The sequence below is a fragment of the Homo sapiens genome, chromosome 7 (assembly GCF_000001405.40).
Source record: "Homo sapiens chromosome 7, GRCh38.p14 Primary Assembly".
NCBI classification, from domain to species: domain Eukaryota; kingdom Metazoa; phylum Chordata; class Mammalia; order Primates; family Hominidae; genus Homo; species Homo sapiens.
In genome coordinates, this window is record NC_000007.14 from 129,732,904 (window position 1) to 129,754,887 (window position 21,984).

The 21,984-nt window shown below is 44.4% G+C and overlaps 1 protein-coding gene across 4 annotated transcripts in view; it reads left to right on the forward strand.

Annotated features, from left to right (window-relative positions):
* Positions 1-21,984, forward strand: part of NRF1 (nuclear respiratory factor 1) — a 145,357-nt gene that overhangs the window by 121,184 nt on the left and 2,189 nt on the right. The window contains exon 11 of one of the 4 annotated variants that reach the window (NM_001293163.2): positions 11,270-11,326. The exons of the other annotated variants lie outside the window; for them this stretch is intronic. Coding sequence (NP_001280092.1) covers positions 11,270-11,326 — 57 coding nt within the window. The remainder of the gene's footprint in view (positions 1-11,269; positions 11,327-21,984) is intronic. 4 annotated transcript variants of the gene reach the window in all.

Here is a 21,984-nt window from a genome sequence, read left to right on the forward strand (position 1 = left end):
CTACTAAAAATACAAAAATTAGCCGGGCATGGTGGTGGGCACCTATAATCCCAGCTACTCAGGAGGCTGAGGCAGGAGAATTGCTTGAACCCAGGAGGCAGAGGTTGCAGTGAGCTGAGATTGCACCATTGCACTCCAGCCTGGGCAACAAAGCGAGACTGTCTCAAACAAACAAAAGGTTCATCTTTTAAATTTGAAAAAACTTTTATTCAAAATTCCAAAGAGTGTTTTGGGAATATGAACTTTATACTGATTTTAAAGTTCATTTGAAAGAATAAAACCTGCCGTGTGCGGTGGCTCACGCCTGTAATCCCAGCACTTTGGGAGGCCGAGGCGGGTGGATCATGAGGTCAGGAGATTGAGACCATCCTGGCTAACACAGTGAAACCCCGTCTCTACTAAAAACACCAAAAATTAGCCAGGCGCGGTGGCGGGTGCCTGTAGTCCCAGCTACTCGGGAGGCTGAGGCAGGAGAACGGCGTGAACCTGGGAGGTGGAGTTTGCAGTGATCCGAGATTGCGCCACTGCACTCCAGCCTGGGTATAGAGCGAGACTCCGTCTCAAAAAAAAAAAAGAAAAGGAAAGAAAACCCTATCTTAGCCATTTTTTATGCTAACAAGCCTTTAAACAGAACCACTAATAAACTGTAAAATTGACTCAAGTTTTCTCCTCTGCTTCTACCCCAGCTTTCCCCAGGTTCAGGGTTATAGGGAGTTTTCATCACAGAGATGGACCAGGTGAGGGAAGCAAGTGTTCTTGCACTTTGAAATTTCACTTTCTCCTTTATATTCTTTTGATTTTTTTCAATTTCATTTTTTGTAATAAAGATGTTAGTGGAGGCCCGACAAAGTAGTTCATGCCTATAATCCTAACGCTTTGAAAGGTTGAGGCAGGTGGATTGCTTGAGCTCAGGAGTTCAAGACCAGCCTGGGCAACATGGTGAAACCCTGTTTCTACAAAAAATATAAAAATTAGCCCAGCACTGGGCTCATGCCTATAGTCACAGCTACTCAGGAGGCTAAGGTGAGAGGATTCCTTGAGCCCAGGAGGTCGAGGCTGCAGTGAGCCAAGATCATGCCGCTGCACTCCAGCCAGGATGACAGAGTGAGACTCCATTTCAAAAAAGAAAAAAAAAAGATGTTAGCAAGGCATACCCCACTTGTGGAGCTCTCTGACCTAGGACATCAACATACTTCTCAGCTGTTGACCTTGCATTCTGTCTCTCAATCCTGTTGTATCATTATTTTATTCATTTAACAAAATTTACATAATCTTACTATGTATAAGCATTCTAAGTGTTTTACATGCATTATATTTAAAACGCATGATAACTTTATGAGTAAACACTGTTAAACTGATTTAACACATAGGGAAGCTGAGACACAGAAAGTTTCAGTAACTTAACCAAGTTCACATAGAGAGTGGCAGACAATTCAGGCAATTTGTTTCCAAACCACTGTACTACACTGTCTCCCTTTGATGTGAGCTCTGGGTTCCTGCCTAGACTCCACAAATACAGGGTGATAACCATTGTTGAACAAATAAATTTGGAAATGTCAAACCTTTCCCCACCCCTGCCAGAGGCTGCTTGCCTTAGTCTAGTTTAGCCACAGCACCCATCTGCCCAGCTGTTCCGAGGGCTGTAGGGGTACCCTGGAGGTTCATGCTGCTGAGTGCCCCGGGCTCAGCAGCCCTCCCTCTGCACACACACAGGCTTGCCTTTGCTGGCCAGAGGAGCCGACAGGTCTGTATGCTTCTCCGGTTGCAGAACTCATCATTGGCTGGCTGTCAGCCTTAAACATTTTCAGTGAGCAGAGTACTTTGCAATTAGTGAATGTGTCTTCTTGACTGGAGTTGGGTGGTGGGCTACGGGTGCTATTTAGAGCCAGGGAAACTAAGGGGAAGTAGATGATATTCAGAAGGAAGGAACCCCAGCAGACGAGTTGTTTCATCAGCTCCTAGAAGCCTCTGCTCAAGCCTTCCTGCTGCCCTTCAGTTTAGGCCAGGACTCTTTCAGCCTTCCCACCTGTCTCTAACAAAGTTGAGACCAAGGTGGTAGGGCTGTGGATCCTGGGGAAAGGGTCAGGGGCGTGTTCATTTTTGCCTGGAGCGAGTTTATTGGCTTATTTGTTTCCCCAGCTCCTCACCGGGTCTTCCACTTGGCTCTGCCTACAGCCCTTGCTTGGGGTCCCCCAGAGATTTTGAAGAGCACATCTGTCTCCGCTGGTCAGCACTGAAGACTCAGAAACCACCTATGCTGCCCTGGTTAAGACTAGGGTCTCAACCCTCCCTCCTCATGTTCTGAATGAAGAGAAATGGACTGGAGGGCTGTTTAAAAATTAAAGCTGCTGGGTGCGGTGGCTCACGCCTGTAATCCCAGCACTTTGGGATGCCGACGCGGGCGGATCACAAGGTCAGGAGTTCGAGACCAGCCTGGCCAATATGGTGAAACCCTGTCTATACTAAAAATATAAAATTTAGCCGGGCGTGGTGGCACACGCCTGTAGTCCCAGCTACTTGGGAGGCTGAGGCAGGAGAATCGCTTGAACCCGGGAGGCAGAGGTTGCGGTGAGCCAAGATTGTGCCACTGCACTCCAGCCAGGCTGACAGAGTGAGACTTCCTAGTAAATAAAAAATAAAAATAAAATAGAATAAAAATTAAAGCTGATGACAAGGCATTGTCATTACACTTAGAGAAGGAACAGCCCTTCGCAAGTATCCTCAGGGTAGCGTGTCCCACGTTCTGGGCTGGTCCTGGCAACAGTCTTGCTGCTGAGGTTCCACCTTAAGACTTCAACGTCATATTTTCTGAAACTATAAGACCACCGGGCGCGGTGGCTGACGCCTGTAATCCCAGCACTTTGGGAGGCCGAGGCAGATGGATCACGAGGTCAGGAGATCGAGACCATCCTGACTAACACGGTGAAACCCCGTCTCTACTAAAAAATACAAATATTAGCCATGCGTGGTGGCAGGCACCTGTAGTCCCAGCTACTTGGGAGGCTGAGGCAGGAGAATGGCGTGAACCTGGGAGGTGGAGCTTGCAGTAAGCCTAGACCACTGCAGTCCAGCCTGGGTGACAGAGCGAGACTCCGTCTCAAAAAAATAAATAAATAAAATACAAAATAAAAAAATAAAATTATAAGACCCCACCCTGCCTTACTGTGCTGTAAAACAAACGTACATTTTACTATGCATTCCAACTGCCAAATTAAATTAATATAGACATTTCTTTAGGGAAAAACATTCTATCTTTTTACACTAGACAATCTTCACCTTTTCACATCCCTGTTTTCTTTGACCTTATTAAAAACTTTTTAAAATATGTATGTTTTCTCAGCAGAATTTAATCTCAGCAATGCTCAATAGAATTTTTTTTTTTTTTTTTTTTTTTGAGGCAGAGTCTTACTCTGTCTTGCCCAGGCTGGAGTGCAGTGGCACAATCTTAGCTCACTGCAACCTCCACCTCCTGGGTTCAAGCGATTCTCCTGCCTCAGCCTCCTGAGAGAGCCCAGCTAATTTTTTAAATTTTTAGTAGAGATGGGGTTTCACCATGTTGGCCAGGCTGGTCTCGAACTCCTGACCTCAAATGATCCGGCCTCCCAAAGTGCTGGGATTTCAGGCATGAGCCATCACGCCCAGCCCAATAGGATATTCTTAACCTGGGGTCTATGGACCCTGAGAAATTCTATACAAAGGTATTTGTATTTTTTTTTGGTATCTATAGCTTTTTTTTTTTTCTTTGCCTCCGCTAGCAGCAGGGAGGGTATTAGCTTTGATTGAATGTGTAACTAGACCAGAGGCATTCCCACCCCCACCCCCACCCCTGTTCATCTCCAGCCCACAAAAAAAGGTTAAGAACCTCTGCTACAGAAGGTGGTGGTGAGGATCATTTAACTTTGTAGATACCTGGTATAGCACTGAGAGTAAAAGGAGGAGCAATGGAGAGGGGAGGTCCCGCAGAGCTGGAGACCCTAAAAGCTGAACCTCTAACAAGCTCTGTAATCTTAGGCAAGCAAATTAACCTCTCTAAGCCTTAACTGTAAAAATTAGGATAATGATAGTTCTGTACTCAGAAGGAAGTTGTGAGCATTAAACAAGATGATTCCTGTCAAGTTCTTAGCATAGTGCCTGGCACAGGGATGCATCATAAATATAAAATTCTTTAGCTGTCAGCATCAATTTCTTCTCCATCATTCCTCACATATGTTGGAGTGCACAGTACTATGTAGACGCTGCTTTCCTGTCTTTAAGACGGATCCGAATGCTTGCCTTTCGCAGATGAAGATGTATGTTGCAGAGGTGGATGCTGTAAAAATGGGACTAGATTAGAAGCCCTTTCTGTAACCTTGACTGAAGAAAATACAAGGTGACATTGTTTAAAGGCTCTATCACTTGCCTTTGTCTAGGGCTGCTGTTCTCTTCTGCACATAGTTTGCGGTCATGAGTGTGGCCTTTTTACTCCTAAAATGGCACAATGTGTCTTCAAATCTCAACAGATGCATTGTATTTCAACTCTATCATGAAAGGTAGCTTTTGCCATTTTTTCCTTTTTGTCACCACCATCATCCATTTTTACTTACTGCATGTCCCACTGTTCCAACTCTTTAAAAATGAGAGGGATGATGCCAATCCTCCACATGTTAGACTGTAAAACACATCTCCTTCCACCTTTTTCTGTGTTCCTTGTTCCCTGGACACATCAGTATATGGGCTTGTTCTCACAAGAGTCCACTGAGATGTAAATGTTAATTTAGGAACTGTATTATTGTTTCTCCCCAAAAAGGTTGCTGATGTGCTATTCCAGTGTGTACTAAATCACTTTTTGCCTCATTATTTTAAAGTTTAAATAAATGAATGTATTAAATAGTCTTAGTGTAAGAGTGCGTTTTCAGTCACCATAAGCATAATAGCCTTAAAAGTGCTGTTGTGTTCTATGACACTGTGATACTATTTGTAGCTTTTATCCAAAGATGGTAAGCTCAGTGCCTCAGGACTTGAAGCAGGCAGCCCCTAAGCAACTGTTTTTTGTGTGAGCTGTGAGTCCCAGGATACAAGCCTCTCATCTTCAAGGTCCCCAAAGAGCAGCACAGCTGGTAGCTGTGGATTTTTAGGCTGCCCTCCTGTAAGGTAAATGGTCTTTTCCACCCACTCCCTTGTTGATAGAGTGCCTTGAGAGAAAATGAAGACACTAGAGTGCTGGTCTCAGACTGCGCTGAGGCATCGCCTGTTCTGTAAGAAAAAGCAAATGAAGATTCATGTGTATTACAACTGTTTCTCCTTTGGAATCACAGGCCTTTTTTAAATAGAGGGGGAGGAGGGGATAGTCCTAGACCTGAAAAGATTCCTTCTTGTAATATAAGGAGAGCTGTGAGCTGTGGATCAAAATGAAGAGGAGTGAGGGGAGTATGCAGCGTTGCCTGTGGCTCCAGCTGAGCTGGGAGCCGGCGGCTTTTCCTGGGAACTGTATGTGGTGCAGCACCTTGGGACAGCAGTGTCTCTTAGTGTCTTCCACACGCCCCCCTGGGAAATAGGCTTTCTTTGCAGACAGGGACTTTCCCATTTAAGTCAGCTAACTTTTCTCTAAGATGAATCGTTTTCATTCTGGGAAGCATGTTGGTAGATGTCATACCAGGAAAATAACCATTTCAGTCGGCTGTAATTTTGCCTTTTGGCTATACACATTGAGCATAATTATTTAGGGTCTTCATCTTTTTCCTTTCATTGTCCATTCTTTCATTTTGTTTTTTTACTACTGCTACAACCACCACCACTGCCACCATCATCTTCTTGCAAATGGCTAAGCAGTGTCTGCATTATTCTACCTTCACCCAGTAAACTGAGTAGAATAGATCTTCTGAGCCCTGTTCAGAAGCAGCTAAAACCGGGACTTGCCCAGGATCTGTCAGCTCTTAAATAGTAAGACTGGAAATCATACCAGATCTCCAGTACTCTTTCTACTGCCCAATGAAACTCCCTTCTTCCCCTTCACTCCCTCTTGCCAGCTTAGCCTACCTAGGAAGTAAAGAAGGCATAATACAAATGAAAATCATGGCCTTTATTATTCATCTGGTTATGCTAGTACTTGGTGTGGTGACTCCTTTGCAGGATTATTTTAAAGAATGGTGGCAGCTATGTTTTACTCACTTTAGAAGTCAAAGACTCACGGTAAATCTTAGCAGAGGCAAATAAAAACATGATACCAAAACCTAACATCTAAATCTGTACTGTCCAGTATGATAGCTGTTAGCTACATGTGGCTATTTGAATTTAAATGCAAGTTGATTAAAATGAAATAAAATGTAAAAGGTAGTTATTAGTCACAATCATATTTCAAGTGCTGAATAGCCACATACGCCCTGAGATACTGAATTTTTAATTTAATTATAATTTATTCACATTTAAATGTAAACAGGCACATGTACCTAGTAGCCACTTTAATGGACTGTGTAGATACAGAACATGTCTATCACTGAAGACAGTTCTATTGGGTGGTGCTGATCTAAGGGCTATATCAATAACACTGTGGTCTCCTGGCAAGTTGTACCCTCTCTGTACAGGGGAGGACAACACAAATACTTCATGAGCTTTGTCTTCCAGTGACCTTCTCAGCTCATAAACAGCATGGCTTTGCTTTTAAAAAAAAAAAAAAAATCTACCCATGTGACTGCAGTAATCCGCAGCCAGTAAACAGCAGGGTGGGAGGGTTGCGAGGAGAACTGATCTATTTTTATGCACTGCAGAGTCCAAGCAGGAAAACCTGAGACCGGAGACAGTGGTGACATCAAGACTCACTTCCTAGTGAGTTTATTCATGACTCAGGCCATGTGCATATTTCCACTTGGATTCCTCACAAGTGCAAGTTTCTCTTCTAGGCTACAGGTATCTGCAGCCAGGTGCTGTAATGGATTTATAGTAGCCCGCCAAAAGATCAAATATCTGAAGCCTGACGGGTCACAAAGCTGACAGGAGCCATGACTATTGCATGAATTCCAGATTTCACAGTGAAACAGAGCTGCTGCTGAAAAATGGGAGCACAGAGCTGTTCACTGGGGCTCTTGATTCTAGACACTCAAAGAGGGGTACAGTTCTCTGCCCCATGTGTGTTTCTCACCCAACCTTTTCATGGTGTTGAGGAGGGGAAGGGACAGCTCAGTGGTGATTCTTCACTTCTCAAACGTGTCCTCCTCCTCTGTCTTCATAATGACCTCCTGAAGTCCAAAGTGCCTTCCAAAATAGCTCTTGGAAAGAGGTGGCAGTTTCCTGACTCCCCAATCTCCCCCATCCTGGGAGATGTGTTGATGGCACTAATTTGCGGGGTAGCAGAGACTATAGTCCTACTCTCTTTACTGGCTGGGGCATTGGAGGCATGCAGTAACTGTTGACTACCACTGCTACAACTGCTGTTATGATTATTACCATTATAATGATTAATCACTCACACCGAATGGGAAGGGAAGTAACCTTCAGAGGTTCACTCTTAGTACTTCTGGCACATATGCTTAGGGCCAGGGCCAGTGAGTCTTCATTCGCAGAGAGGTGGTAGTGAATCTCCCACAAGGATCCCTACTTCGGGAAGCCTGTGTTCCTGGTGGAAGTCCCATCATATCCCTCAGGCATACTGAGATTCTCTTCTCTAGAATTACCAGGCCTTTTCTGTCACTCCTCAGGCATACCCCCCGTAGCTGGAGGGATTTCCAGTTGCCAGGGTTCTTTGGTGCTTTTCTTTGCCTCCTGCAGAGATGCTGAGCTGTGGACACCTTCAGAAAGACCAGCACTGCCTCATGAGAGTATCTCCTGTCCCTCTTTGCGGGTTTAGGTTCCTTGTGTAGTCTGCACATCCAGAGGGGATGTGTCATTCTCTCTCTACCATTATAACCTGGGGTGGCCTCGGGCATTCATCGTTTATATGCCAGGAATTGCTAACCTAAGCTCTGCTATTTGAAGGCTTAAAGACTGCAGATCAAAAGTAGACACAGAGGGCCTTTACAATGAGATGATAGGCCAGTAGCTGTCATTCTTTATTCTTAGTGCTCATCTAAGCCATGACCATGTCCTTCAGATGTAGCTTTTAGATACTTTTCATGTGAAAGACTGGATACCTCTAGTCGACATGTCAGGGCCCCAAAGGAATCAAGTCCCTTTGGCATACCTTCATGTCCTCTTTTTTTTGTTTTTCTGTACTTCAATAGATGCAAATTCATTTACTCTTTGGTCTGCCTGTGTTGGGTATTCTCAGCTTGGGGAAACTCAATGAGCCAGCACACCATCCTATGAACAGAACACCAATCTGAGCCAGGGACATTCCGAGCAGACAACTCAGGTCAGGGCTTCCGGACAGATTCCCAAGGTCCCTGCCATCTGGCAGATGGACACCACTGACTGTGGTCTCCTCTCCATCCACGGTGTCCTCAAGGCCAAGTTACATGCTTCTTTGTCTCATTCTCCTTCCCTTTAGGTCCGCAGATCTTTCGGAGTCTTTGTATGTAAAGGCAGATTTTGGTCTTAGATTATTCCAGCTCCTTATAAACCAAGACTGAATCTTGTGCCTGTCATTGTGAGCGCTATTCTGTAAAGGGATTTTTTTTTCTGGCATACCAAATCCAGAGCCATAATTGGACAAGTTTAATTGGAGTCATTTCTATTCAATACATGGATGGCAAAGTGGGTTTTAATTGAGCATGTAAAAAGGGCATTAATCACTGTTCACACAGGAATCACAATATTAGAACAGGAAAAATTCTTATAAAGTTTTTCAGGTTCTTGGGTAAAGGGGACTTTCCTCTTTTTATTTATGCTTCCATTAGGATTTTGAAGGAATGCCAGTGCACTGTTATTAACTCTAATAGCTTGTCCCTCGCAGCCAGGATGGTTTGGGGCCCTCTGGCTCTCAGGTTACCTGTGTAAATACAGGGATTCACTTGCCAGCACCCAGCTCTGACATTTGCTTAATAAAGAGCAAATGTGCAGAACCCAACAGCAGCAGCAGCCTGGCAGAAGCAGTAATCTGAACAGGATAAACATGCTTCCTCTTTGTGCGATGCTCTTTCTCCATCCTTCTGCCAAGAGCAGGATATCAAATGAAGGGGAGGTTGTGGTTGGAGTCAGTGAAGTGAATGTCTAAGTGGCACCTGCTTCATTCAACAGATCTGCTTTCCTGGGGCCTCCCAGTGCACATCTGCTCCTGACAAAGCCTCTTTTCTCCTCCTATTGGTCAGACTGAGAGCAAAGGCCTGGCAAGGAGACATACTGGTTTTGCTTTGTCAGCACAATTGCCTGTGACATTATAATTACACCAAATCTTCATTATTAGAAAGGCCCCAATTTAGAGATTTTCAGAGCCTAAATGGGATTTTCTAAGTGAAATTGATTAAAAAAAAAAAAAAAAACAAAAAACTTTGCCATCATAAAGCCTAGCAATTGCATCTGAGAATCATTGAAGGGGTCTAAATATGGAAACCGAGACACTGCTGTGAGTGAGACTACAAAGACCATGCTATCAGATTGGCTCGCTAGAGAGGCGTCCAGCAGTCTTCCGACTCTGCCCAGCCCATCCTCTCCTTATTCCCGTAGCACTGTAACATGCAGATACCTACACTGCATTGCTCTCACATGCTGATAGTTTCTCATGCAGAGGCCTGGTGGGGGAGGGGCTGGAGGGTGTTAAAATAAGTTGATGAGGTATGGCAGTAAAGGAAAGAACCTGTGACTTAAATAAGGGAAATACCAGAAATCTATATTTTAGGTGAATACAAAGCATCCAATTTAGATTGAGTTTCCATTTAAACAAAGGCAACTCTTAAGAGTGTTGCACAGTGTGAGTGTATGTGTCTGTCTGTCGGAGGCACGTTTATGATATGGAGTTGGCACACTGGAAGCTCTGGAAAGGTTTTAGAGCTGTGCTCTGGCTATTTAAACTTAATTAAAACAGAATAAAATTTAAAAATCAGTTCCTCAGTCACGCTGGCCACATTTCAAGCACTCTGTAGCCACTGTGTCGGACAGCACTCAAACAGAACGTGCCCATCATCACAGGAAGCTCCAGTGGACCACACTGTTTGAGGTTGGTCTGAACCTCTTGAAATGCCTCGGCTGCTTAAGGAAGCCTGGGAGTTTCTATTGCAGGCTTGTTGGAAGGAAAAAATGAAATTTGCCTCAATGTTTCTGGAACAACTCCTTCCAGCCATGTTACCTAGACTGTGTTCTTTTTCACCTTTTTGTATTTTTTTCTCCAAGGATTTCATGTCCTTTGCCTACTCCTACCCCTTGTTTAAAAAAAAAAAAAAACCTGAATTATAACAATGAAAAGGAAATTTAATTTTAGGAATGTCCACTTTCAGCTGACCTTCTCCTTGGCCTTCTCCTAATTAAACTTTCACAGCCCTGCTGTTGGACCAGACAGTCCTTTTCTCATTAAATGGAGCACCTTAGTAAAACAAGAGGGCATGTGAACACTCGGGCCAAGAGTGTGTAAACAAGTTGTGCATTGTGTGGACAATGCTGCTGGGTGTGGAACGCTGGGCTGCCAACACTTTCCATTTTCAGCAACTCTTGGGACCAAGGACAGGGCCTTTAATCTTGCTTCTTCCATTTGTCTGTGTCTAGTAGCTACTACACAGTTGCTTTGACTCCTGGAGAAAGCCCACGTAAAATAACAATACTACTTCAAATTTAGACAGTGTCTTTTTTTCTCAAGAACTTAAATCATGTAAGCATGATGTTATTTATCCTCATAGTGGTCCTAAGATACAGAAGTGGCCTGTTGGTTTTACAAATGTGAATATAGTCAACTCTTACTTGTTACCTACAGATTATCTGTCACGCAGATTACTCGTGACACATTTTAAATCCTTGGGCAATTTCTCTGAGCGAGCCAGTGTAAGCCTGGACCATCTCCTCTGCCCCCCGACCCAGCTGCTGGGTACTTAGGGAATACAAATTAGTTTTCATATTAGCTTAAAGAAGACATAATTAGGAAGGTAAGTCTGCTACAAGAAAATCACATCACAAATTCCAACGGCGAGGGGGAAATATGAGGGAAATGACCTCCTCTCCCTTCAACTGAACTAAGATCTGGTGGTCTAAGTGCACATTAGCACTTGGTGCTGGCATGCTTGCCGAAGGCTTTCCTCACGGGTGGAAGGAGCGAGGCTGTGCACCCTGCACCAGATGTGCATGGGAGGCTGCAAGCGCCGCAGCGGGGCTGGTGGCCCATCTTGCCCGGTGCTTTTTTTTTTTTTTTTTTTTAACAGTTCTGTGTTATTGTCAGGCCTCTTTATGGCAGATCGTGCAGGTCGCAAGTGGATCCTGACTGACAAAGCCACAGGTGGGTTCATCTTTGGGGAAAGAAGGAAGCAGCTGGAGGATAGAGTCACTGTGAGGCTGTCATTCCAGGCGCTGCTTCCTGCTTGGATGGTGGGATTCCTCTACTGTGCAGTCCCCCTCACTCGGTCACCTGATAGTTTTAGTAACCATTGATTCCATTGATTATCTGATTTTTCTAGTGTTAAATGTTTCCTTTTCATTTATTAGCTGGAATTCTTTTTTAAGAGACAGGGTCTTACTACATTACCCAGGCTGGAGTGCAGTGGCTATTCCCAGACTACAGGTTCGAACTGCTGGCCTCAAGTGATCCTCCCACCTCTAGTTGGGATTCTTTTATAAAGAACTTGTCCCCATTAACAATTTGGCTATGCTAAGTACAGTTCAGATAGGAAAAGCAGGAGAAAAACTTGATGAAGATGAACTTTATTGGGATAGAGTTCTTTCCATCTTACTCTAAAGCCCCATTACTGTCTATTTCCACTTACTGATCTGCTTTTTTCAGGTGTCTCACTGCCTAGAGCAAATTTAATTCTGCCCTTTATGTGCTCTTAAAAAGTTTTAGTTTTTTTGTGGTTTTTTTCCTAAATGGTGCTCTACAGATTATGCTGAGTGAGGGGATGAAAAGTCACGAGTACATCTTTGGAAGCTTCCTTGCCTCAGCGTATCCCTGCTCAGATAGAAGAGGCAGGGACTGGATGACAGGCACATGGGGGTTCATTGTACTCCTCCCTCTCCTGGTGCCTATTTGACATTTTCCATCATAAAAAGTTTGAAGAAAAAAAAAAGTTTGAAAGTAATAATAACAGAAAAATAAATAAATCTCCCTTCCTAACTCTGAGTAACTCCTGAGTGGGCCTGCTGTTCATTTCTGCACCTGACTGTTGCAGGCTCCTGGTGACTTTCTTCTTCTGAGGTTTGTCATCTGGGCTCCACTTTCCATTTTAAAATATTGGTGCACTCTGCATATTGCCATGATCTATCCTCTGGGACACAGACTTCAACCTGAGTGTTGTTCCCACCCTTCTTCCTAGTGATTTCTTCTGGGAATTTACTGGGTACCCCTTGCCTTGCTCTGTACAGTCAGATCAGATGTCCTCCAGAGCAGGGGTCCCCAGTCCCTGGCACGGCAGGAGGTGGGTGGCAGGTGAGCAAGCATCACCGCCCGAGCTCCACCTACTGTCAGATCATCAGCGGCATCAGATTCTCATAGGAGCACGAACCTATTGTGAACTGATGATCTAAGGTGGAATAGTTTCATCCCCAAACCATCCCCCTCAACCCCCCCCCCATCCATGGAAATACTGTCTTCCATGAAACTAGTCCCTGCTGCCAAAAATGCTCGGGACCGCTGCTCCAGAGCACGTGCATATTCCACAAGCTTCAGCAGAACGCTTTCTCTCCTGCCATTTTCAGTTTAAAGCCTTCTTGGCAGGGTCAACAGGCCTTGCAGTTAGCTTGTTCATCCCCACGTTGGGAGCTCAATTTTCAGGATAATAAACCATGGTGGTTCTGAATACTGAAACACAGAGCGTTTCATAACGCTCCTGGGCATTGCCAGTAATTTCAAGAGGAAATCATGACATTGTATCTCCAAAATAGGTCTTGAGATATATTTACTAATAAAGTAAAAATGAATTCAGTTTTAATATTTGGCTTATGGGATGAGGGGCATGAAAAGCTTCCTGGTGGTCTGCAAAAGCAGGCAAAAGATAGAGTGAGCCTGTCTCAACCAGAGTCACTCCTTTGAATGTTATTCCAGAAAGCAGTTTTTCTTAGTCTTGAGATGGTCCAGCAAGAGAGAAGAAAACTCTTTGAGTGCTGAAAAGCACCCTGTGCACCAAGGCACCTGTGAGGCTGCTCTTGGCTTCATGAGAATATTCAGTACTTGCCAGATGTAAGACATATTTTAATCCATAAATCCCCCAAATGTACCCAAAAGCTTGGACTTAGGAAACACGGAAAAGGGAGATTAAATGTCCCAAAAGCAGCTAATAGAACAGAAACAGAACCACTGGGAAAGAAATGCTTTTTCTCTTCCCCGTTTGCCCTACTATCATGAGGTTACTTGGACCTCCTTTTTGTTTGATATTGACATTCTCTTCATGACCTTCCTCTTCTTGCCCTACATATGTCCTCTTTCCATCTAGTCCTTGGTATTCTCAGCCTGTCTAACTGCTGTCTGCCTGCTAGACTAGCTTCTTTACTGATTTCCTGTTATCTTCTTCCACTTCTATACTGGCACATACCATGCCTGTTTTTCTTCATATAGTGGCTTTCCTTAGACGTCAGCCACTGATGTAAATATTTTTCCAGGCCTGTAAATGGAAGATTTTTAAAGGACTTCCTTCCTGCCTGTCACCCCTAGAAACACCTATAGATACCGTTGCTGGCTCCTTAAAAACTCAAGCAATATAATCCGGAATTTAATTTCTTACTCACGTATTCCTCTCCTTTCTAATCATGGTCCCGGTTCCCATTTGGGCCAGTATTTCTTTGATGTACATGGTTAGCGTTCATGTTCATAAACTAAAGAAGGCATTACGTAATGTAAATTTCCCTTTGGGTTTTAAGAATTATTTCTTTTCCACCTACTGTCATGTTTATTATTTGTTTAGCTCTCTCTTTTTCTCTCAACAGCCATCAATATTTTTCTCCCAACTAAAGATATTTCCATGACCACCTTGGAAGGCCTTCAGGCTGAAAGATTCAGTTACAGCAAACAACAATTCCCAAAGGTTTCCCAGACTGTGAGGGCAAATGAAAGGCCCATTCTTCCTCAGGTTGTCTGTCCTGCTCTATCTTGTCGTGGGGTGAGGGGAGGAGGGCCAGCTATGGTGCTGGATAACTTCAACAGCCCTGCAGCCCTGTGCTCTGCCTGGCTCAAGTCTGTTAGTTTCTGGAGGACTTCAGAAATGTATCAGGGTGATGACATCACATCATACTGCCCTGATTGTATTTTTCACATTCTTAATATTGAGGAGTGGTTCTGCCTGGTTGCTTATTGACCAGTGCACTCGATTAGCAACCACTTCATCTACGTCATGTGCAGTGCCAGTTCTGACCATCACTGTGTTTCAGAAGGGAAGCTGCCTGCCAGTCCATCTGCCCTGATTTCATGGCTGTTATCTTTAATCTTTACATCTTTGAAGGCCTTTGGTGAATGATGTGCTTCCTGGCAGGAGAAAATCACTGCTGAAAGGAGATCTGTGTTGTCTCTGCTTTTCTTTCTGTTTCCCGAGAGCTTTAGTCTAACATCTGTGACCCCAGCCAGACTCCATCAAACTTCATACTCAAAGTCATCTTTGAAAAGCAGTGGCATTTATTATATACCTACTATGTGCCAAGCACTGTAATAGATTTTAATGTGTCATCCCATCTATCTAGTTTAGCAGCCCTGTGAGATGAGTGATCACCATTTTACATATGAGGAAACAGGCTCACAAGCCATTAAACAGCAGAACCAAGATTCACATGTAGGTCTTTCTGACTGGGAAGCCTTTAATGGAAATAAACAGCCTACTTTTTCTCACATAAAATGCACCTGATCTGCAGCACCATGAGAATGGTTGTGGAGAAAATTCGACTTCATTCTGAATCAGAGTAAAAGGTGTTAAGGCTGTTTGGTCTGTGGAGGGCAAGACTAAAGGGACTACCATCAAGTTTCTGAAATTCATGAAGAGTATGATCAATGATACATTTTCATATCATATTCAATTATTGAGCACCTACTGTGTTCAAGTTGCTCAACATTAAAAGACAGTCCTCGGCCGGGCGCGGTGGCTCATGCCTATAATCCCAGCACTTTGGGAGGCCGAGGCAGGTGAATCACGAGGTCAGGAGTTCAAGACCAGCCTGACTAACATGGTGAAACCCCCACCTCTACTAAAAATACAAAAATTAGCCGGGCGTGGTGGTGCGCGCCTGTAATCCCAGCTACTCAGGAGGCTGAGGCAGGAGAATCACTTGAACCTGGGAGGCAGAGGCTGCAGTGAGCCGAGATCAGGCCACTGCACTCCAGCCTGAGCAACAAAGCAAGACTCCGTCTCAAAAAAAAAAAAAAAAAAAAAAGACAGTCTTGCCAACAATGCAAGCATGCAGATTTATAGACAGAAAAGCAGCAACTCCTTGGGAACAGGTCAGCACATACCTGGGGCCAAATGAATGGTGGCGGCAATAAAGTCACAGGAGGGAGAAACCAGGTGGGCTGTCCCCTCAGAGGCAACCCCATGAACCATGTGGAAACTGCTAGAAGAACTGGCCTGAGACTGGCAGGGCCTAATTCCAGACAGAGAGACCTGCCTGAGGAAGTTCACATGGCATCCAAGGGACACATGTGATTGTAATGAGGGGATAGTGTAGGGTGTTAGCAGGAAAGGCTACATAAACTCCTTCAACTATTAGCTATTTAGACTTTATTTTCCTGATAGGAGAAAGCAAAGTAATGTTTTTGATGGGATGGGATGGCTTTTGCCAAACAATATTTTAAGATGTTAACCATGATAAACATACTTATTCATCCAATAATACTGAATACTGAAAGAAGTTAGCCTTGGGAAAAATAAAGTCCCTCAAAATAACTAAATAAATTCCATTTCCACGGATACATGCACATATGTTTATGTGTGTAAATTTCATTACACAATAGGCAAGTGATGAAACTCATTGCCCCAGGAGAGATCTGGAATAGAGTAGATTGGCTCATGAATGATAAATCCAGAGTGTGCAAGACTGTGACCCTAACCTTTAAAGCAAATCTCACTGGTGCCCGTGGTCTACCACAGTGCTCCCCTGGTGCCACCATCAGAGACAGACCACTGTAAAACCTCATGGCCCCTTGTTTTGCAGCGTGCAAGGCCAGGCTTATGAATAGATATCATCATCTGCCACCCATGTAATGTGATCTGAGAGGCATCACTTTGTACGGAAGTTTTAAAAGATCCCTCTGGCAGGCGCTAAAGTAGGGTTATTACAAAGGAAGGCAAGAGATGGTAGTGTCTGTCCAGGGAGGCAGGGGGAAAAGTGTTGAATTTGGGTTCTGTATTTGAAGGGAGAGAATCAGCTGGTGCATTGGATGTGTGAAGTAAAGGATGACTTCAGAGCTTTTGGCCTGAGCAACTAGAAGAATGTTATTGCCATTTATTTGGGAAGAGAGGAGACTTGGGAAAAGCATGTTTCACCATTTTGGCTCAAGAATGATACACATTAAAAAAAAAAAAAAATAGAGCCATGTCAGGCCTCATTGTCCTTGACAGGGAAACATGGTCCTGCAGCCAGTTCTTCCAGAGATTTGGGTCCAACTGCTGCTTGACGAGGAAATCTTTATGTTGGCACCTGAAGTTTCTGAGTCACCTTTGACTTTTTTTCCATTTTGACCAATTCTATAAACCTTACCATGAAGCTTGAGAAGAAAAGCAGCAGGGGGCCCAAAGAGGACAGTCCTCTCCCTTCTGGATCCTTCCTGGCCCTGGTGTTAAGTGTTTAAGGACATTCTAATATATGGAAAAAGACTCCCAAATCAAAGGCCTGGGTCCCTGACTTTACCATCAACTCAGTCATTTGGGGAACAAAATCAGTCCTCCTTTGATCTGTGTTGAGGTTTTTTTTTTTAATAAAATTTTTATGTTTACTTTTGAGTTCAAATAAAAAGACGGGTTGTATTTACTAAACTGAGTTAACTCCAAGGTTGTGTGTAGCTCTGAAATACTAAAGTCTTCAGGACATTAGAAGTATGTGCCTTTATGATGAGCCCGTGGTTCTGGCTCTGACTCGTGAAAGGGAAGGAGCCCTGCCCTGTGGACTTCTCTAGGGTCTCAGCAGAAGTCAAGTGACATGCAGCGGGGGTGAGAGGGCTCAGAAAGGGGCTGTACTGAGGCCAAGGGTCTCATTACCAGGACTCTACAAGGGCCCTGTAAGAAAAAGGAGCACTTCCACCCCTTAAAGTAGAACACGAAGGGCTTCCTGTTGCTTAATCAATCGAAATGACCCAGAATACAAGCTTGGATTAACATGCGCCTCTAGATTAGGGCTAATCAGGGGCAGGCTGAGCAGATGCAGGGACAGTCCCAGCCTGATTACTGTACCTCAGCATTTAATCATCTCTCTTCCAAGGGCAGCCGCCCGACTTAGGGCACGCTGGGTTTCCAGGCCTCCAGCCCCTCCCCCTTTCCCTTGCCAGGGACATGAAGGCTGTTAGGTCAGAGACACTGAGGCGATTTAATCTAATCCCATGTCAAAATGGCTGTGTGTGAGAGAGACAGAGGTCTTAAAATCCCTACAGTGGTCATGCATTTATTTAAGGTGGCAGTAGACAGAAACTCTATGTAGAAAACAGCGGAATTGGGGTTCCAAGGCATGCGAGGTTATGAAATGACTCCCATCATGGCCTCCCTCTCCTGTGCTTCTAAGGTGTGTGGCTGTCCTCACCAGTTACTCATCCCTGGGAGCTTTGGGTGGGGACCATTTCCTCACCCAGGTGTGGCCAAATATGCTTCTTCCCTGTCTGGGGTGGAGTACAGAAGATGGAATCTTTCAAAAACAGCTTTATTTGGGTGAGTCTTGAATATAGTATTTTTGAAGCTGCTTTTTTTCTGGGCTGGAAGCTCTTGTTCCAGAACAGCCTCATCACCCTAAGGCTCACCCACCTTAATCACGCAGTCCCTAGAAGGGACACAAGTTAAATCTTAGTAAGCAGGTTTCATTCATGGTAGTAGAAAACATTCCAGCACCTGCTGACTGCTGGCCACTCAAAGATGGAGACTTAATTCCTCCCTTAAGGAATCTACGGTCTCCTTGGGGACAAGACATACGAGCAGTGAGGATGAATGAGGCCGCTGTCTCCAAGGAGCCTGTACAGGGAGCAGAGGAGGAGCATCGGAGAAGAGGACCCAAGATGGGGAGGAGAGAGGCTGGGGAGGAGCCCCCTCCAGGCAGAAGGCATGGAGGTGTGTGCTTGGAGAACCTCAGTCAAGTAGTTCATCTGGCTGGCGTGTGAAGTGAGTGGGGATTAGTGGATCACCAGGCTTAACTGAACAACAGTGGCCGACGTGAAGAGTTTAAATACCTGCAAAGGGGTTTGGACTTTATATCCCGTGGGCCACTAGAAACCACTGAAGAACTGTGAAGGAGAACAGCAAGATCAGGTCAGATGTTCAGAAGATCATTCTGATGATGGCAGTATCAGCCAATAGATAGATTTTTGCATTAGAACCTTGCTTCATTTATTCTGGGGAAAATCTTCCGTGATACTATGAAAACTATTTTAACAATTGGGCATGGGCCCACATCATAGGAAACCCAAACACATCACAGCCAGGGTGAAAGAAATTTAACTTTGACAATTCTTTTAGTTTCTATTCACACCAGCCCTAACCCAGATGGTTGCTCACAGTTAGTTAGAAAAGATCTCCCTGCACACTGTAGTCACTGTATTTGTACAGCAAGGGACTTGTTCCCCAAGCCTGGAGCTTTTGGAACTGAATGGAGCCCAGAGGCAAGAGCAGTGAAATGAGGCTGACCTTTGCTTCTGGTTTTGCTTGCTACTTGCCAGTATGTGGGTTCCCTGGAGGAACACACAGGTGTCTTGGCTTTGCCACTGGGCATTTTGGGTGATTTCGTTAACTTTGCCTGTTTTGACCAGAAGAGAGCCTGATCGTGATAGGAGGAGGCGGGGGACTGACGGGGTTATACAATCTTCACATATATATACACTCAGTCCCATGCCTTGAGTCTAGAGGCTGGGGAGAGGGCCCAGCTGCACGTTGGTTGAGGCCAGCAGTACATGGCCCTTGAGGCTATGCTGATAGCAACTTGTGGCACACTTTGTACTTCATACTGTGAGGAACATGAAATAAGCCAGAGCCAGGCCTGATCTTGAAAGAACCCTCTGTCAAGTGGGAAGGCCTGTTGCAGACATGCATCAACTGGCCCAGCTGGCTTATCCATGGCTGTCCCTGGGCCTCCTGTGAATCCAGAGGAGGCTGCTCCAGCATTGATAAGGCTGGGATGGGGCAGGTTCCACAAGGAGGGAAAGCTCACCCCAGTGTAAAAGGAAGGAGTGGGGGATAAGTCTATCTCATGAATAACCTGAGCAAAGGCCCAAAAGAGTGTGGCTGATAGATTGGGGGAACTGAGAGTAGTCTGGGGGTGGGGGGCACCTAGAGGACAGGGCACCTGTGAGAGAGTGAGGGAGATGAGACTGGAAAGATGGACCAGGGCAAACCACGAAAGGCCTTGAAGACCATGCTAAATCATTTGAACTTTGTTACAAGCTTTGGAAACCTTTTAAAAACCATGGAATTTAAATGTTTGAGATGAGGGGAGTAACATTATGGAAAGATATTTTGGCTGGGTGTGGTAGCTCATGCCTGTAATCCTAGCACTTTGGAAAGCCGAGGCAGGAGGATCACTTGAGCTCAGGAGTTCAAGACCAACCTGGGCAACATAGTGAGACCTCGTCACTATTTAAAAAAATAAAAAATAAATAATAATAAAGAAAGATAATTTGAGTGACTGGGAAGGGGTGAACTGAAAGAGAGATTAATTAAAGACAGTTAAGAGCAATTTGCAAAGGTTTAGTTGAAAGAAATTGAAGCCCACAGTTTTGTAGGCCAAGGCCTGGCCCTTCTGCGTGCTTCCCCCATGCCCACGTGCACTTGGAGGCTGGCCTCTCTCCTCCTCCTTTCAGGCCTGCATTGCAAGTGTGGGGGCGACTGGCCACGTCTTCCATTTCGGTGAGGGCACACCAGAGGAGCCAGGGTTTCTAGTGATGCGTCACCATAACAGCAAGTCTCATTTCATGAAGTCTCACTGCATCATCAAATGCTTACCCCTTATCCCTAAACTGGCAAAACTTACTCTTAGAAAAAAGTTACATACAATTTAACATTGGAAAAGAAAATCTTATATTTGATTTTTTTTGCATTAGAAAATATTTTGACAACCCTTTTTAAAATAATTTTTATCTTCATCAAAGTAGCCTATGGTTTAAATGTCAAAAAGAACTAAAAGGGGCCTCTCTGGGTCAGTTTCTCAATACAGTGGGTGAACCTCAGAGGCCCAGTCAGCAAAGGTCTTTGGGTCTGGATGTTGGGGTTGGTCTAATCAATTAAATTCAAACTTTCCACTCATTCTCATTTTTAGCCTCATCCCTCTTTCTGCCGTAGCTAGGCCTCTATGTGCTGAGCCCTGTGTGAGCATAGGAGTTGCCCCTTCCACTTCTCTGTTCAATCAGAACCATTTCACATTTGCTTTGCATCTTCCCAAAAAATGTTGACATCCCTCGGTTATATCCTTTTTTCCTCATTCACTGTAATTCTAGTTTCAGAAGGAAGAGAGATTGATGTATATGTTAGTTACTGCCTTACTGGGAATCCTTTTTTTTAATGTATTATCAGCTTTCCCTTTTTAGGCAGGACTACCTTTATGGAGGTTATGTGCTTCTTCCTTTAAGCCATCCTTTCTACTCTGAAATAATAGTGATATTAGGGAGTAGCTGGGGTCTTTTTTTTTTAAGTTGACCCCAAAATGTGTTTTTACATTTTACTGGTGTGTGAAATCTAGAAATCAGGAAACAAGTGACCTAGGCTTTAAAAATAAATAAATAAATAAAATAAGCTTGACTATGAAGGAAGGCACATAGACGGAGCAGTGGCCAGAAGACAGGATAGGAGAGGGACAAGATTTTTCTTTTCAAGCTGAGAGAGACTTAAGCATAGGCAGAAAGAGGGTTGAAGAAGGCAGTGTAGCCAAATATCAAAGAAAAATAATGGTGGCCTGTTCTGAGAGGGAGAAGACAGGCCGGGGACATTCACACCTGACGGGCCTGTGCTTCCTAGATGCGGAGGCAGGCAGGGCCCTCTCACGGCAAGCTGGGAAGGCCCTACCCTAAGGCATGTTTCCACAATTTCTCTAAACTTTTCTTTTCTGATAGTCTGTTTTAAAAAAATCAAAATGGTCAGGGTTGGTGGTTCACGCCTGTAATCCCAGCTATTCAGGAGGCCAAGGTGGGAGGATCACTTGAGGCCACGAGTTCAAGACCAGCCTGGGCAACACAGCAAGACTCCATCTCAAAAAAAAAAAAAATTATATTAGCCAGGCATGGTGGCACACGCCTGTGGTTCCAGCTACTCAGGAGACCGAGGTGAGAGGATCACTTGAATCCAGGAGTTCGAGGTTGCAGTGAGCTGTGGTCACGCCACTGCACTCCAGCCTAGGCTACAGAGCCAGACCCTGTCTCTTAAAAAAAAAAAAAAAAAAAGTTAAAATGGAAAAAAGTTGATTTCCTAGAAGTAGAGAGTAGAATAATAGTTACCAGAGTCTGGGGAAGGGTTGGGGAGGGGGGCAGGAGAGGTTGGCCAGCAGGTGCAAAGGAAGAATAAGTTCTGGTGTTCAGTTACACAGTAGGGTGACTGTAGCGAATAACAATGTAGTCTGTGTTTCAAGATAGCTAGATTTTGAATGTTGTCACCACAATGAATGATAAATCTTTAAAGAGATTAATATGGTAATTTTCTTGATTTGATCATTCTACAGTGTATACATGCATTGAAACATCACATTGTACCCCATAAACATGAACAGTTACTATATATCAATTATAAATCTTAAAAATTAATGAAAAAAATTTTAATGGGGTGGGAAAGAGATGTCTTTGTGCCTGGG